General features: G+C 49.2%; 1 protein-coding gene and 1 long non-coding RNA gene across 4 annotated transcripts, besides 5 other annotated features; one reads left to right on the forward strand and one right to left on the reverse strand.

Moving 5' to 3' along the window:
* Positions 9,689-9,748: a silencer, noted in NCBI's record as "silent region_4025". NCBI's record gives its function as "represses an Ori minimal core promoter by ATAC-STARR-seq in GM12878 lymphoblastoid cells {active_cell/tissue: GM12878}" and the evidence as "EXISTENCE:reporter gene assay evidence [ECO:0000049][PMID:35858748]".
* Positions 9,809-10,128: a silencer, noted in NCBI's record as "silent region_4026". NCBI's record gives its function as "represses an Ori minimal core promoter by ATAC-STARR-seq in GM12878 lymphoblastoid cells {active_cell/tissue: GM12878}" and the evidence as "EXISTENCE:reporter gene assay evidence [ECO:0000049][PMID:35858748]".
* On the forward strand, positions 9,990-17,258 carry NRGN (neurogranin). 2 transcript variants are annotated; one of them, NM_001126181.2, is made up of 4 exons: positions 9,990-10,147; positions 15,551-15,777; positions 16,010-16,030; positions 16,452-17,258. In NM_001126181.2, the coding sequence occupies exons 1-2, from the start codon at positions 10,133-10,135 to the stop codon at positions 15,770-15,772; spliced, it is 237 nt and encodes a 78-aa protein (NP_001119653.1). In that variant the 5' UTR covers positions 9,990-10,132; the 3' UTR covers positions 15,773-15,777; positions 16,010-16,030; positions 16,452-17,258. The 2 variants fall into 2 exon arrangements, with proteins under 2 accessions (NP_001119653.1, NP_006167.1); NM_006176.3 differs by having other exon boundaries at positions 16,013-16,030.
* Positions 14,310-17,013, reverse strand: NRGN-AS1 (NRGN antisense RNA 1). Of its 2 annotated transcripts, none has more exons than NR_197587.1 (4): positions 16,821-17,013; positions 16,287-16,378; positions 15,963-16,046; positions 14,310-14,943 (listed from the first exon to the last, which is right to left on the reverse strand). It is a non-coding gene; the product is annotated as an NRGN antisense RNA 1 (long non-coding RNA). The 2 variants fall into 2 exon arrangements; NR_197588.1 differs by lacking the exon at positions 16,821-17,013 and adding an exon at positions 16,579-16,709.
* Positions 15,425-15,958: an enhancer, noted in NCBI's record as "H3K4me1 hESC enhancer chr11:124615273-124615806 (GRCh37/hg19 assembly coordinates)". NCBI's record gives its function as "activates a minimal SCP1, AML or CMV promoter by ChIP-STARR-seq in naive H9 embryonic stem cells {active_cell/tissue: H9 hESC(naive)}" and the evidence as "EXISTENCE:reporter gene assay evidence [ECO:0000049][PMID:30033119]".
* Positions 16,493-17,026: an enhancer, noted in NCBI's record as "H3K4me1 hESC enhancer chr11:124616341-124616874 (GRCh37/hg19 assembly coordinates)". NCBI's record gives its function as "activates a minimal SCP1, AML or CMV promoter by ChIP-STARR-seq in primed H9 embryonic stem cells {active_cell/tissue: H9 hESC(primed)}" and the evidence as "EXISTENCE:reporter gene assay evidence [ECO:0000049][PMID:30033119]".
* Positions 16,993-17,252: a silencer, noted in NCBI's record as "silent region_4027". NCBI's record gives its function as "represses an Ori minimal core promoter by ATAC-STARR-seq in GM12878 lymphoblastoid cells {active_cell/tissue: GM12878}" and the evidence as "EXISTENCE:reporter gene assay evidence [ECO:0000049][PMID:35858748]".

Here is a 17,282-nt window from a genome sequence, read left to right on the forward strand (position 1 = left end):
GCATATTAGGGATTCGTTCACTTAAATCTGTTTTTTGTTTTTTTGAGACAAAAAAACTGCTCTCTGTCCCCCAGGCTCTGTCTCCCAGGCTGGAGTGCAGTGGCACAATCTCAACTCACTGCAACCTTTGCCTCCTGTGTTCAAGTGATTCTCCTGTGTCAGCCTCCTGAGTAGCTGGGATTACAAGCACCTGCCACCATACTTGGCTAATTTTTCTATTTTTGGTAGAGACAGGGTTTCACCATGTTGGCCAAGCTGGTCTTGAACTCCTGACCTCAAGTGATTTGCCTGCCTCAGCCTCCCAAGTGCTGGGATTACAGGCATGAGCCACTGAGCCCAGCCTTATTCATATAGAATTACTATATTATATTATAGAAAGACTGAATATACATATACATATTATACATATTATATACATATTATACATATTATTATAGAAAGACTGAATGATAGTGGCTTAAGTCTATGGGATTATGAGGGTTTTTTTCCCTCATGATTTTATCATGTTGACATTTTGCTTCATGGTCATAAGACAGCTGATACAGCTCCAGACTTCAGCTCTGCTTTGAGGGAATAAGAAACAGGGGCTGGTAGTACTATCTGCCCTCTCCTATCTGGGAAGTAGGAGCTTTTTCAGATTCCTCAGCAGAAATTGGCTTGTATCTCATTGGCTATATCTGTGTCTCATGACTAGCCCTAAACAGGCTTAGACTATGACCCGTTGTCATGTCTGGATCCACAACCACCCCAACAAAACTGCAGTTGCATTATCAAGCAAGAAGAGGGACTGCATGGATATTGACTAGGTAAGCAACGGTGTCTGCCATGATGGTTTCGTTACAGTCTACACAGCCCCACTTATTATCCCAAGTGCAGGACCTTCTTGCTGTCATGATCTGACATGTGTTCAGCAAATAGTAAAGTAGCATAGCTCCACCATCCTGTTCCAGTGGAACAGAAAGTGTTTTCTCTTCTTCAGGCTGGACACAGTGGCTCACACCTGTAATCCCAGCACTTTAAGAGGCCGAGGCAAGTGGATCACTTGAGGTCAGGAGTTCAAGACCAGCCTGGCCAACATGGTGAAACCCCATCTCTACTAAAAATACAAAAATGAGCCAGGAGTGGTGGCAGGTGACAGCTACTCAGGAGGCTGAGGCAGGAGAATCGCTTTGAAGCTGGGAGGCAGAGGTTGCACTGAGCTGAGATCTCACCACTGCACTCCAAACTGAGTGACAGAGTGAGACTCCAGATTAAAAACAAACAAACAAAAAAACAGCAATATTGTCTCTCCTTTAAGGATCAAGCTTTATATTCTTCCTCTTTTGAAGAACATCTACTAGATAGGATTGTATCCAGTACAAACCTTTGACTCTCTCTACTAGGTATATATGAACACTGAACATCCATGGAAAAGTTATCCTAAGTCAAAATGAAGTGTGGTTTTTACTTTCATTTCCTTCTCTCTAAACATGCCTTTTCTCTAAGCAGAGAAAACATTTCCACTAACAACCCAATCCAAAAACAGCTCACGTCCCAGCTCTCCCCTCAGTCACCCCACTCCAACACACAATCCCATGAAGGCAAAGCAAAAATAACACAAATACAGCAACCCAAATAACTATCGCTACTTATCTCATTTAACTTAAATGTCCCACCCAAACTACAGAATAGCAAAAACTTGTAGTTAATAATCCTTTACCTTTCAATGCTTCAGTCTGACCAAAAAGAAAAAGAAAAGTCAAAATAATCATCATTTTCCAAGATTAGAGCCAGGGCTTATCTGGGTAAGAGAACTCTCATTTTTACATAAAGAAAGACATTTGTTCATATAACCAATTCCTGTGTCATGATCCAAGTCCAGGGCTATGTGAAGTATCTTTCACTTTGGGTATACCCTTGAAGAAGCCTTGGCTTGCACATGGCCTGCCACCCAGGCCTTGCAATGGCTGACTTGTAATATCTGCTCATCTGTATCTTGGCCATAGCGGACGACAGTCCACTGGAACAATCCTGTCAATGTCTTCTTTCTTCTGAAGTCTAAAACTTCAGAACATGCCAACACTTATATGAGAAGCTCATATGAAAACTCAGTAGAAGATGATTATTGGTAACACCATCTTCAGCCAGATGGCTGACTTGGATTGGTTTAGAGATGATAGGTGTTAGGCCCTTAATTCCTCATAAACAGCAGTGAAAAGGTGGTCTTCGTCTACCCCACAGGCTGCCGCTTTGACCTGATAGGTAGAAGTCATTAGCCTGTGAGCTTATTTAAGCAATTGGGATCTGCTATGTCAGACCACCCAATGAAAGAAATGTCTCCTCTTTTTAAATAAAAATAAAACCCTCCAAGATTAGCACTGGAAACAAATCCCTGCATTGCGACAGGACACTAAGGCCATGAAGGCTTAAAGTCGCTTCCTCTTGTGATGCCTCCGTAAGGACTGCTGCCACCAAGCTGACTGCCCCACCCTGGCCTCTCTGGCCCAAGGCCAAGTATATAACTCTTCTTTGAATGTCCCCTCACACAGCTAAGACAAAGTAGAATTGCTTAACCAAGTTAAAGGAAGGAAATAATAAAATGGAACTAGACAGAGAGTGACATTAAACCAGATACATTGGAACAGACGTGGCTCCTTCCTGGCTTTCAGGCCCAGTCTTGTTCTATCTCCCAACTGCTCCCCAAAAGAGGCCACCTCAGCATCAACTTTCTCTCTGTCTCCACTCCTCAAAATGGAAGCCCCAGCACCAAATCTCAGAGAGATGAAGAGTTGCCTCCCTATTTAAGGCCTAACTTCTTAGTTGTTGCTGAAGACATACCTGGACCTCTAACAGAATCATGACCTGCTGCAAAGAAGGTCATGCCTGACCACAGCAATATACTTTTCTTTACTGCTTGCTTCCTCTGACATACATTCTTTCATTCTCCGCCTTATTCATTCAATTATTCAAAAACTATTTATTGAATATCCACTATGTTCTGGATATTGTGCTAAGGCTACAGCGGTAAAGAAAACATCTCTCATCTCTTTCTTTATTTTTTTCTTTACATTTTTGTATTTTTCTTTCTTCGACAGAGTCTTGCTCTATCAGGCTGGAGTGCAGTGGCACAATCACAGCTCACTGCAGGCTTGACTTCCCAGGCTCAGGTGATCCCCCACCTCAGCCACCCAACTAGCTGGGACTACAGGCATGCACCACCATGTCTGGCTAATTTTTGTATTTTTTGTAGAGATGGGGTTTCACCATGTTGCCCAGGTTAGTCTCAAACTCCTGGGCTCAATTGATCTGCCTGCCTCAGCTTCCCAAAGTGCTGGGATTACAGGCATGAGTCACCATGCCCAGCCTTCATTTTATATTTTTCAGGTTTTATTGAGGTATAATTGACAAATAAAAATTGTATATATTCAAAATGTACAGTGGGATGATTTAATATATGTATACTTTGTGAAATGATTAGCACATGACATTAGTTAATACATCCATCACTACACATAGGTGCCATTTTTGGTGTACGTGTGTGTGCTGATCACACTTAAGATCTACTCTCCTAGCAAATTTCGAGTAAACAATATAGTGTTATTAACTGTAGCTGCCATATTGTACATTGGATCCTCAGAATCTAATCTGTTTCCCCACAGAACGTATAGGCTAATGAACATATGCTTTAAAAGTAAGCATTAAAGGGTCCTTATTTTTCAGAGAGACATACTTAGATATTTATGAATGAAATGATAATGGGGGAATCAGAAGGCATATGAATTAAATAAGTTTGATGATAAGTTGAGAATTATTGAATGTGGATGATGGGTACAGTGGAGTTCATTACTTTATTTAGTTTTGCATATGTTTAAGTTTTTCTAAAATAAAAAAGTTTTTTAAGTGTTAATATGAGGCAATAAATACTAGATGCCAAATTAATGACATAGCCATAGCCAGTGGATCCAGATTAGAACAATCAGTACAAGCTCTCAGACCAAGAGAGCATCAGCATGGAAAAGTGTGAGCCTGGGATGCTGACCACATACACGCAGGCAAGAGCCACTCATTCTGGATGATTTTAAGAGAATATCGCTCTCCTGGATAAGAGTTCCCCCTTCCTTCTGCCCAGAGGTAGACAATGTTGGGGAGAATGGCTTAAACCTCATTTGGTTCAGCAGGCATGCATTGCTGGTTAAACCAGGAATTTCTTGGATCTGACTATCCAGCAGAACCACAAAAGGAGCAAACGTCTTTAAATAGACTAAGAAATAAGGTAAAAACTACATCTCATGTAAGTCTTTTTGCAGAAATCAATTAAAACAGGTCGTTGTCTGAACCAACACTGAAATGCTTATTATTAGGTTTGTTCTAGAGCTTGTTATTCAAATGGTTGGTGCCTTGTTATTAAAAAAAAATTGTGTTGGTCTAATGTTTGCAGGCAGGATGTGCAGGCCCAGCAGGGACACACATTGCTTAGCCATCAGAGCTTTCACACATTAGGAGAGGTGGGGAAGCAAGCTGAGGAAAGGGAGGTGGAAAGGTAAGAACAAGTAGGTGTTTGGAGCAAAATAGGAATAAGGAGCTACCGCATCCAGGATTTTGAACTACATCTGAGACCTAGAAAAAATGGGATGAAGGCAGAGGATCCAGACACCTGGCACATCTATAGGAGCAAGGGGCAGGTGTGCATTAGAGCTCTGAGGAGCAGCAGGGCTATGGTACTGTAGATGAATTCAGAGCACTGAGCTTTGGACATAAAACCCTGGGTAAGAGGAAGGATACTGGGATTGCTGACCTCAGGGCCCTTCTGGGCTGGGATGGCATGCACTCACAGGGACACTAAGTGTGGTGCATAGCTCACAATTGCTCCTGCCTCAAATGCTCTTCTGCCCACTCCTGGCCCTCTTCACTTATCTAAGTCGTATTTTTGCGTAAGCCAAAAATTAAATTCTAAGGCTCCCTTGAGCCATCTGAACAAACCCCTCCTCTCAACCAAGGGCATTCCATAGTTAACCTGGAAAACTAGTTCAGGCCATGATGGGAAGGCAGGGGGTCTGACATGCTTCATTATACCCTCCTCCCTTTTGGAATTCAGGAAAAGCCGACCAGCATTAACATCAACACAGACATTAAGTCTGATAAGAAACATTTACCATGTATTCTCTCTGCAGCCTGCTACTTGGAGGCTTTGTCTGCATGATAAAACTCTGCTTATCATGGTAAGCCAGACATTTCCTTTCTATTGATTCCAGGTCTTTAGATAATAACTCCTTTAACTGATTGCCAATCAGAAAAATTTTAAATCTACCTATAACCTGGAAGCCACCACCCTCCACCACAGCTTCAAGTTATCCCACCTTTCCAGATCAAACCAAGGTACATCTTGCAAGTATTGATTGATGTATTATGTCTCCCTAAAAAGCATAAAAGCAAACTGTACCCCTTGCACAAACTTGTAAAGCAAGCTTATACCCAACTACCTTGGGCACATGTCATCTGGACCTCTTGAAGATGTGTCAACAGGTGCATCCTTAACCTTGGCAAAATGAACTCTCCAAATTGATTGATACATGTCTCAGATACTTTTGGATTCATGCTTGCTTCAAACCATCATCCAGGGAGGCTTCCTTGACCATCCAAATTCTCAGTCATTTCTTCCACACCTCAACTCCCAGAACATTTACTGTCTGCTTAATTCCTTTCGTATCTATCATTCATTATTTTATACACGCACATATATGTACTTTTTCCATCGGATTACAACATCCAAGAGAAAAGAGATTATGTCTGATTTGCTTAGCTTACGCTAGGAGCACTGTACAGGAGAAATGCAGAATTCAAAGTCAGAACTCCTGGGTTTTAGTCCTAGTTCTGCATTTCCTCAGAGATCTAATGCTGGACAAATAGCAAGTCACTTAACCTCTCCCAGCCTCAGTTTCCTCCTCAGAAAAAGAGGTTAGAAATAACAATACCTCCTAGGCTGGGCACGGTGGCTTATGCCTGTAATCTCAGCACTTTGGGAGGCTGAGGCAGGCAGATCACTTGAGGCCAGGAGTTCGAGACCAACCTGGCAAACATGACAAAACCCTGTCTCTACTAAAAATACAAAAAAATTAGCCTGACATGGTGGTGAGCATCTGTAATCCCAGCTACTCAGGAGGCTGAGGCAGGAGAATCGCTTGAACCTGGGAGGTGGAGGTTGCTTAAGATTGTGCCACTGCACTCCAACCTGGGTGACAGAGTGTGACTCTGTCTCAAAAAGAAAGAAAGAAAAAGAAAGAAAGAAAGAAAGAAAGAGTAATACCTCCTCACACTGTTCTCGAGAGCACCACTTTAAATAATGGATGTGGTAGCACTTTGTAAAGTGCTATTCAGATTTAGCCTAGAACTCACTCTAGAATATTGGTTATTTCCCCATCTTAGCAAATATATTATACCGAGCCTTCCGTATTGCCTCTCTAGCAGCACCCTGAACATAGCAGAAGTTCAAGAAATATTTACTCCTCTTGATAATGCTGGTAACAATCATGATGCTGACAATGACAGAACAAAATGACTACTGGTGAAAATGACTCAACGGTCACCTAATGTCCAGCAAACCTGATTTCTACCTTTGAATGGACCCCTTAAGCCATGTGCTTTCTCCCCCTCTCCTTCCTGACATGTGGGGTGAGGGTGGGAAGAGGCCTCCAGCCTGGCAGAGGCCCCTTTAAAAATGTACCCGGGCTCCTCCTCTGCCAACCAGGTTGCTAAAAATACTACAACAGCAAAAGCTGAAATATTTGCAGAGAAAACTGAATTTCCTGCTACCTCCACCCCCTCCACTCAAATGGGTAAAATCCTGACCTAAGAAGCCCCCAGATCAGCTCCACCAAAGACACAGGCCTCATACTTTCTAGCCCCCTTCTGATTATGGGTCCCTCCACGGGCTTGAGCCAGGATGTGAAGTTCAGAAGGTGCCCACTCCGAGAAGGGGAAGCCACAAGTTATTGGGAAATAGATTGTCACGTGCCTTGGCTTTTCTGCCTGCTTACTAGGACCAACCCTCTCCAAATCCCCTTCCATCTGTCCCAAGAAGAATCTGTATTGGACCACAGGAGCTTCCCACTAATCCATCTTTTATCCTCTCTTTTGTCTATCCCTCACCTGCCTTGGCTTCTATTCCTCACCCCTGTCATCTCCATGCTTCCTGCTGGCTCCATCCCACGGCACCCACCAACATGCCCCAGTTGCCTCCCTAACCTGGCCATTCCCTTCCAGAGCTCATCTCCTTTCCAGGCCAGCAGTTTTCCTTCAGTAGCTATGGGGGCTGGAGACTGTAGATGAGAAGCTTTAAAATTTGAAAAGTCAAGAACAACTACGAGTCCAAGCCCATCTGGACAGTAGGTCATACTCCAAATGTTGACCGGTGGCACCCAGGCCCTAGGCCAGGCAGGTTACCATGGGGAGTATAACTTGGCATCATTCTGCCAAAGACCAGAGCCTGCAGAGGCAGACCCAGCCATCCCTTACTGCATCTGTCCTTTGTCCTAGCTCACCTATTTGAGTATCACAGGCTGAGTCCCACCAGCCCACCTTGCTGACAAACCCCAGCCACCTAGAGGCTCAGAAGAGGGACCTTTCCCCAGCGCTAGTGGGTGCCTTGGCCCCACAGTGGTTAAGGGGCCCACGCTGAGCATGTCTTTGGATGTCAGTGGGTGACAACCCGTGCAGGGTGTGTGTCTCTGGGTGTGTGGGCAGTGTGTGTGTCTGCATCTTTGGGTCTGTGTGTGTAATTTCTATGAGGCCATATGTGTTACTGCTCCTGCCACTGGTATTTGAGTTTGTGAGTGTCTGTCTTCTCATCTCAGGCTCTGCCTTCCTCTCTGTCTTTTCCTCACCTCAGAGCCTGCCCATCCCCCAGGGCCAGCACTGTGGCCAGTTCTGCGTAGGCGCCTTGAGTGGGCTGTTGCTGAAATGGTTGCTTTGCGGATGGAACTGACAGTTGCCGTATCTGTTCTCCTATGGGCCCTCCAGTGTTCAGAGACACCCTCACCCCACACAAAGGTGTCCTTCAGGAAGAGGGAAGGGCTGTGCTGCCTGTGTGGGAGTTGGTGGGGGGGGTGTTGTAAAGATACCCCCCCTTCAGTTCTGACCAGCAGGAAGAAGGGCCCAGAGGCAGCGCAGTCTGCAGAGGGATGTTGCCTAGCAACTTGGGAGACTTGACTGCAAACTCACCAAATCCCGAATTCCTCAGCTCTAATTTGGGAAGAGAAAAGCACAGAGTCTAGGCCTGGTATCCACTCTGTCCCCCAATTTCCCCCTTTCCTCTCCTCTCTGGATTCTGGAGTTGAAGTCCAGCAGGAATTGGCACAACAGAAGGCCACAGATGTGCGTGTCATTTAGGCAAGGGCCTGAGTTCCCAGGACATCTGGCCACTTGGAGGAGGTGGGGAGATGAAAGATGTGCCAGAGACAGATTGGGGAACAGATTTTTTTTTACAAAAGTGGGTGGGTCCCAAACATGCTGGGAGAGACACCCCTACACCCCAAGCCCTGGAATCCCGGCCAGCATCCAGCTCAGCCTGGGACCCCAAGCTGGCTAACCTTATCCCCACCCTGAATGGACTCAGGCATTTCTCTCCCACTCATTTTTCCTTTGGCAAGCAGAGCCTCGGGCCCAAACATCTAGGTGGAAAGGAAGCATGTCACCGCCACGTGGTCCCTGGTCATGGCCAGGGACTGGGGATGCACAGCAGAGCTGTCTCAGGATCTGCTGTCCCAACCAGAGCCACAGGGCATTTCCCACCTTTGCTCCCAGCAGGAGCCATCCTTTCCTCCTTCCCTTCTCTGGGACCTTAGCTGAGAAGACTTTCTAGTTTTCTCAGAGAAGGCCTACCCTACCCACATAACAAGCCACACTGCCAGCTTTTGTACCCTGCCGAGTTGGGGGAGGCTGACGACCACAACAGTGGCAGTCTGTCCCTCCCAGATGCTCTTTCCATAGCTCCCCTTCCCAGCCTCTCACGAAGCCCACATCCTGCCTCATCATGGACCCAAGAGCCAATTACTTCGAATTCTCTACACTTGGGTTTAGGGTATTTTTCTTCTTCTCAGGAGCAAGGGCGAGGATGGCCAGCTTTTGTCTTATTCTGAGGCAGCAGATCAAAAGGTTAGGCAGAGTCTGGTATGAAAGGGAGGAGGATACTTCTTCCAAGTCTGTGCCCATATATAAATACATACAAAATAGGTGTTGTGCATATATGATGTTGTTTGTTGCAGCTCATGTAGACAGATCGATAATAGATACGTCATGCCGACAGCTTGAGTTGGGTGACTGTCCGTGTGCGTGCGTGAGCGCGCGGGCGCCCGCAACAGGGTGTCCGCATTTACCTGCAACTGAAGGGCTGCGTAGTTATTTTTGCAGGTTGTATCTGCAGTGTCTGTATGCTGGAAGAAGGCCTGGGAAAATCATATGTGGACATGTGGGGCTTGTGAGCTTTTGTGTGGACGCATGCCCATCGCCAGGTTGTACCAACAGGTTTCTCCGTCTGTAGCAGGAGTGATGATGAGACCTTTTTACCGCCCGTTAGGGAGCCTTTCTTTGCGGACTGAGGGGGAGTGAAGTGAAAGGGAGCCATATTTGGGACTCCTGCTAGGTTGTGGAAGTATGGAGGGATGGGTGAGGGGTGCGTGGTTTTCTCTGAGCGGGAGTAGGTGCTGTGCCCAGATGTGGGTGTTTGTGCTCGGGGTGTCGGGGGCCTCCTTCTGCCTACTCCGGCGTACATCTGCCTGGCAGTCTGCCGCCTAGCAAGCCAGGGGATTGCGCCCGGGAGGATGGAGTGTGTAGGAGGCTTGGATACAAGCGTGTAGGCGGAGGGGCTGGGGCAGGAGCGGGAGCGCGGCGCAGAGAGCCGCGAGAGGGCGTGGCCCTCCCTCCACTTCTCCCCGCCCACCCTGCCGGAGGCTGCTCCTGATTGGCTTCCCGGCCGCGGGGCTCAGGTTACATTCGCGAGCGGAGCCGAGCGCGGGAGACCGGACCCGAGAGCAGAGCTGCTGTTTCGGCGCGGGTCGGCTGGCGGCCGACTGCCCCAGAGCCCCCACCCGGCACCACACAGACCCCACCCCCGCCCTGCGCCAGCCTTCGTCCCCGCAGAGGACCCCCCGACACCAGCATGGACTGCTGCACCGTAAGTTAGAGGGCCCGGGGGAGGGGCACTTGGCGGGGTCCGCTGCGAGAGGCGCCTGAGAAAGCCCTGGAGGGCGAGAGAGGGATGGAAGTGGATGCGGAAGACCTAGGAGCAGAAAGAAAAGGGGTCCTTGCCGAGACGTGGGTGGTGGATGGTGGAAGGCGCCCGCCCGACTTGGAAGCCCTAGGAAAAATGCTCCTCAACTCGCGGGGGCGTCTGAGCGCCCATCCGTTAGACAGCCTAGGCTGGACTGGGAGCTCGGCAGGGCTCTGCAAGAGGGGAACTGCGGGTTGGATGACAGGAGGAACTTCCTCCCCAGTGAGACGCTGGCAACCATCGCCTGGAGACACTGCAGCGACTCCTTCCTCCCGTCTTTCGGCCCCCACCCCGTTCCCCATCCCACTGCGCCGCCGTCGGTGGGCGGACAGGCTGATCCTCATGACCCTCCAACGATCGCCTAAGCGCCCTGTGCAGCGCAGGCTGGTCCATATTGGTTAGCTCGGTAGTGATGCTGGCTGCAAAGAGCCTAGTCAGGGTGGTTCTGGGGAGGGGTTGTCCCGGCCCCCAAGGCCTTCTCGCTCGGAAGGGGCTGGGTGAAGTGACCGCGAGAGAGCCCTGCTGGCGAGGAAAGGAAGTGTCTGCAATTTGTCAGCGCCCACGCGGAAACCTGGGTACTGCAAGTGCCCAGCGCCCGAGGGGTTTGCTGTAAAGGTGACTCGGTATGAAAGCGCCTGGCATAGGCCCTGGCTCCTGCCTCACTGGAAGAGTACAGTGATCATACGTATATGAAATTTATTTGTTTGCTTATTTATTTTTTGCCTCTGCACTTGGAGAAAGACTATTCCAAAGTCCTTGTATTTTCAGTCATTCAGTCAACCAGCTAATGATACACGAGGTTACTGACTTTGCCACCTTATGGCATAGTAAAGAAAAAAAAAGTGGGCTTTGGAAGGGAAGGATAGCCCAGTTCTATAATAGGTGAGACTTTCCCATGTCTGGGTACCAAGAGGCAGAGAACACTTAGGGGCAAGTGGTGGTGGTTGCGATTTTAACTCTTATTAGTTTAAGTAATAGTTGCCAGTTTGTGAATGCCTGCCCTGTAGCCAGCACTTTATATTTAATCATAGCAACAACCCTGTGAAGTAGGTATTATTTCACAGATGTGCCAACTGAGGTTTAGAAAGTTAGATTTTTCCAAGGAAGCATGACTCCTAACTGTGGAGGCAGGATTCAAACATAGCCCTGTCTTCTTCGAAGAGCTGTGGTTTAACCTCTCCTCTAAATATTTACTGATTATAAAAGTAATCTGCTCATAATAGAAAACGTAAAACCTAGAGAAAAGTATGAAAAACAAACATGTCAGTCACCTACAGTCCCACCCCCTGGAGAACACCCCGATAACATATCTCCTTCCAGCCTTTTCCCTCTGCTTGTTATTCTACAGGAAGCAATTTTTTGGTTGTGAAGGGAGAAATGGGCTCCTCATGGAGGTTCCTGGGCTCCACTGAGGAAGAGCCCTTCCTCCCAGCAGTGTTGTATAAAGTAGAGAAGATAAATGGATGGTGGGTTCTGGGAAATGAGCTGGGGGGAGGGGAGAGGTGAGGATGACAGGGGAGTATTGCTGGGGAAGGGGAAGTGGGAGACGTGGTCACTGGAAAGAGGTGAGTAAACAAAGAATCCAAGAGGCCAGGGAAGGAATGGAATTGGTCTCCTCTGTGTCTGCAGTAGTAATTAGAGTAGGATGTGGGGGTCCCTGCCTGGAACTGTTGCTCTTGAGTGCCCAGGGAGCCATACTGAGGGATTAGTAGACATGGTTGAAGTCAGTGTCCCTTAAAAAAGGAGAGGCTACCCACCCAAAAGGTAAAAGAGAAGCAGATACACAATTATCTCCATGGCCCAGGGCCTGGGGCACCTCCTCCAGTGCACCCTGTGCACAGGAGCCTTCCCAAGTCATGCCCTGTCCTAGGTCTGCAGGGCTAAAGGGCTGAGCAAGAGAGAGCACCATTATCAGACTGTGCAGGAGGGCAGGAAGAAGAAGGAGTGATGTGTGGAGGGTTGGGGAAGGGCAGGGCTAGGGGTGGGCATTTTCCTCCCCTTTCTGTGGAGGGCTGGACTCAGTGCTGGGAGAGAGCTGAGATGTGTGGGAAGAACAGCATACCTCTTGGGGGCTAGAGGCAGGTCCTTCTTCATCTTTTGATTCTGGAGCTCTCCTCACTGACCGCATCACCTGGTGTTTGGGAAGAATCTAGTCCTGTCTTATTCCCGTTTCTCCTTGGTACAGAGGCTCAGATAGAAATGAGGAAGAAGAAAACAGATCTGCCTATTTTTTTAAGAGACAGAGGAATGGTTTTTTATTCATGCTGATTCAAATATTGCAGTTGCTGATTTACATAGCCATATATATATATGACTTTTCCTGCATTCACCGCGCATGAAAAAGCGCATGAATTTTTTTGGATCCTCATTTCTTTTGCTTAGTCTAGTTGGCTTGGCCCTGCTGAATTCATAGAAATAATTACCTGCCCTGAGGCAGTGGCTAGCAGCAGAGGCTACTGAATCCCATCACTTCACTATTTGTCAACTGAGTGACCTTAGCTAAGTTACAAAATGTCTCAGAGGCTGTTTCCTGACTTCCAAAATGGGGATTAAATGAGGTAATATATGCAAAGCGCTTAGCACAGGGCCTGACATAATAACAAGCAGCAAGCAGGGGATATCCTTAAAGCTATTCGGATTTGGGAGCTGAAGGAGACTTTGTTCATTAGTTGTGGCTGAAGAAAATGAGACTCTCAGAGATGAAGTGATGTGCCCAGTTGGGACTAGAAGGCTTGGACCCCACTTTGCTGACCAGGGCACCTTCCACCTCCTCCTCCCTCCCAGAAGTCCCTACTTCCTATGGAACTGTCAGGCACACACCAGCAACCTTGGCTTTGGAAAGCACCAGCCAGGCACCATGACCAATGAACCTCTTCCCAGGTCCTTTCAATCTCCTTCCACTTCCACCTGTGGACTGGCCACCTGGCAGCTCTGTCCTGAAAATTCAGCTGGTAGGAGAGGGAGCTGGTTCTGGGGAGGAACATGGAGTGTCGGGGGTGGCTTTGCCTGCTATTCCAGGTTTCCATTCTGGATCCAGCTGGGGCGGGCGGTGACAGCAGGTCGGGTCTAGCGTGGTTGGAGGCAGATATCCCTTCCTCCACTCAACCTTCCCACTCCTCCACAGCTGCGAGGCCAAGGAGGAAAGGTAGGTCAGGAATGCTTTTTTATGGTTGTCACCCTCTTGAGAAGAAGCCTCACTGTTCCCTGAGGATATCCCAAGAAAGACTTGAGCTCTAAGAATAAAACATTCCAAAGGAGTCTTTTCTGAGCACCCTAGACCTGTGTTTGGCCTTTCCACAACCATACCTGCCTTTTTGTAACTCTTTTTTTCTTTCTGTTTTTTTGACTCTTCTACCAAAATGTAACTCCTTTTAACTGTGTTTAAATCGATTATGGGCATCTTGAGCACGAATTGAAGAATGTGAAGCCCAGGAAATGAGGCTAACCTTGGGAAACATGGCGAGGGGAACCATTTATAAGCCGGGGCTTGGGCATCTGGAGTTTAAGCTTGTGGTCCTGGGGCAGAATCTGGCTAGGACAGTGATCACTGAAGCCTTCCTCATATCCTGTCCACTTCTATGAACCGGATGGATGATGGCAGGGAGAGCTAATGTGCAGAACTGAATTACCATTATTATGTGAAACCTTGGTCATCTCGTGTCCTAGAAGAAAAAGATAGTCAAAGCAGTGGAAGACTTCATGAAAAGAAAAAAAAAAAGAAGGAGGCAAATTCCTAGAAGCCAGTGAGCCAGATCAAAGGAGAAATGTCCTTCTAACTTCATAGTAACCATCCCCATCCTGACCCACACTAATACTGCAAGTAATGTTAATGCAACAAAAGGGCTCAGAGGCTGAATTCCTCTCCGTTCCATAGCCTTTCCTCTGCAATCTATACCATCAATCCCCTCACGCCTTCTACTTTCAGCCAGGGCAGGCTGTCAGAGAAGCAGAAACCTAGTTTGGGGCATAGAGGTGGGCCTGATTATTATTAGGTTGAACCATATGAAATTGTTATTATATGACCACTTTTGGCCTACAAAAATGACTATTTCACATTAACTTAATGTTATTTTTAAGACAAGCATAAAAGCTACCATTTATTGAGCAGCTAGGTTGTGCAAGAGACTTTATGCATATCATGCTGTTTATTCTTCCCCACGACCCATAGAGGTGGATACCATTATCCTGATATTTTAGAGGAAGGAGCTGAGATAGGAAAAGATTAGATAACTTGCCGAAGGCCACACACCTATAGCAAATGGTAGACCTTGGCTGGTTGACTGGGCTGCATTTTCTTATCCTACAAAGTAGGGGTAAAAATATATATTCTGGACTCTGAAATACAAAGGTTTGAATCTTGGGTCCACTGGTAACTGTCCGTATGACCCAGGTAGGTTTTTAAACAGTCTAATCATTAGTTTTATTAGGGGTAATGATAAAAAGGTACGTAATAGCTTTATTTTGGGGGACTAAATAAAATAATGCCTGTAAAACACCGTTATTGCACCTGGAACAAGGTAAGTGCTTAAGTGGTAGCTATCACCATAATTCCCTTCTTCCTCATAAGCACACCCTGGAAAGGGCTTCTTGCTCCTGCAGGTCTTTTCATTTTCTTTTCTTTTTCTTTTTTTTCTTGGAGTGAAGCCTTTTCTTTATCACTTCATCCAAATCATCTCCTATCTCCTGTGTTTGAGTTCATCCTTGGGCAGTGGAAAATGAAGAGTCAATGGGAAAACAATCTCTGGGCCTCTAGCCTTAGGTCGGGGGAGGCTGGCTCACTGACTAGTATCCCCATCCTCTCCCTAATTCCAGCTGTGAGCTTTCTGCATTTCTACTGGGGAGAGGGCTGGCGGACTGAGGCTTCTCCATCCTCTCCACGGAAAACCCTGGACTCAGACTGGGTCCTTCTGAGCTGGAGGTACCCTCTGAGAGCAGGGGGACAGGCGGCCACTCCAGGAGTGCCTGCTGCTGTTTTCCTTGCCCCTCCAAACCCACCCTCCAATCAGCTCTGCAGACCCCTAACTCGGTGCTGGTGATGGGCCTGGCTCTCCCGCACCCAATCCTGCCTGCACTTCTCTTTCCTGAATTGAGACATGACTGTCCACCTGGCCCTGAACCTTCTTCGCCTGTCGCTGCCCATGCCCCAGTGAGTGTCCCTGCCATAGCCCTGCTCCAGGCTCGACACCCCTCTCTGTACCTCCCACCCCCGCGTCGCCATAGTCCCTGTCCCTCAGGGCTCTATTCCTACCCCACTCCCGCGGATCAAGACCCAGTGACCCCACAAGAACCCCCCTGCTTCGCCCCCAGGAGAACGCCTGCTCCAAGCCGGACGACGACATTCTAGACATCCCGCTGGACGATCCCGGCGCCAACGCGGCCGCCGCCAAAATCCAGGCGAGTTTTCGGGGCCACATGGCGCGGAAGAAGATAAAGAGCGGAGAGCGCGGCCGGAAGGGCCCGGGCCCTGGGGGGCCTGGCGGAGCTGGGGTGGCCCGGGGAGGCGCGGGCGGCGGCCCCAGCGGAGACTAGGCCAGGTGAGGCGGGCGGCGCGCGGCTGGCTGACAGCTGCCCTTCCCCAGCCCTCCCCAGGAGCAGGGGGAGAATAAGGGCGGGTTGGAGGTGCAGGGGGCGTGGAGGGAGCTAAGGGTTGGGGGATAGAAATCCGAGATGGGAGGTGGGTGGGAAGAGGCTGAAGGTTGCGCGGATTCCAGGAGCTCACCTGTTTCTCCCTCTGCATCCTCCCTTCTGCCCCGCCCTGGACCGAAGAAGAACTGAGCATTTTCAAAGGTAATGAACACGGCCCCTAGGCGGCGGGGTGGGACCCGTGAGTGGGAGAAAAGGATCGAATCCCCAGCCCTTCCCTCTGCCCACCCTCACCCCTCCCAGCCGGGGAAAATGCACCCTGCCCCTGCGGGTTTTCTGATACATCCAGACGCCCGAGGCTGCGACGGGGACATACCTGGACCAAGACATGCGCAGCCACCCCATTTGGCTGCACAAGCCCGGCCAAGGGGCAGAAATACATCGCGGCGCGCACACGTACCTGCCGCGGGGCTCATTTCAGCGCTTTGACTCGGGGTGGGGGTTCTGGGTGACTGGGGCCCTCTGGCACTCACCGCCCAAAGAATCCTGGTACTGAAAGGGGGAAGGGTGGGGGGAAGAGGAAGTAGCAGAAGAGGGCAGGTTCTCAGACCTTTTCTCTCCTCAGTTCCCGAGGAGAGATGGATGCCGCGTCCCCTTCGCAGCGACGAGACTTCCCTGCCGTGTTTGTGACCCCCTCCTGCCCAGCAACCTGCCAGCTACAGGAGCCCCCTGCGTCCCAGAGACTCCCTCACCCAGGCAGGCTCCGTCGCGGAGTCGCTGAGTCCGTGCCCTTTTAGTTAGTTCTGCAGTCTAGTATGGTCCCCATTTGCCCTTCCACTCCACCCCACCCTAAACCATGCGCTCCCAATCTTCCTTCTTTTGCTTCTCGCCCACCTCTTCCCGCACCCAGCATGCAGCTCTGCCTCCGCAGCCTCAGTGCGCTTTCCTGCGCGCACTGCGGAGGGCGCCCTAAGCGTCACCCAAGCACACTCACTTAAAGAAAAAACGAGTTCTTTCGTTCTGTGCGCAGCTAAAAGGGGCGCCCTACATCTCCGTGCCACTCCCGCCCCAGCCTAGCCCCAAGACTTTGGATCCGGGGCGAGATGAAGGGAAGAGGGTTGTTTTGGTTTCGGACGACCCTTGCTCTGACCGGAAGAGAAGTCCCTATCCCACACCTGCCTGTCACGTTCCCTCCCCTTTCCCCAGCGCACTGTTGAGGGCAGCCTCTCCAGCTCTCTTGTTTATGCAAACGCCGAGCGCCTGGGAGGCTCGGTAGGAGGAGTCTTCCACGGCCCCGCCCCGCCCCTGTCGGTCCCGCCCTCCCCCCCGCCGGGCTCCTGGGGCTGTGGCCGAAAGGTTTCTGATCTCCGTGTGTGCATGTGACTGTGCTGGGTTGGAATGTGAACAATAAAGAGGAATGTCCAAGTGTTCAGAGGGTGCCGGGGGAGGGAGTTTG

Source organism: Homo sapiens, chromosome 11 (genome assembly GCF_000001405.40).
Source record: "Homo sapiens chromosome 11, GRCh38.p14 Primary Assembly".
Lineage (NCBI taxonomy): Eukaryota > Metazoa > Chordata > Mammalia > Primates > Hominidae > Homo > Homo sapiens.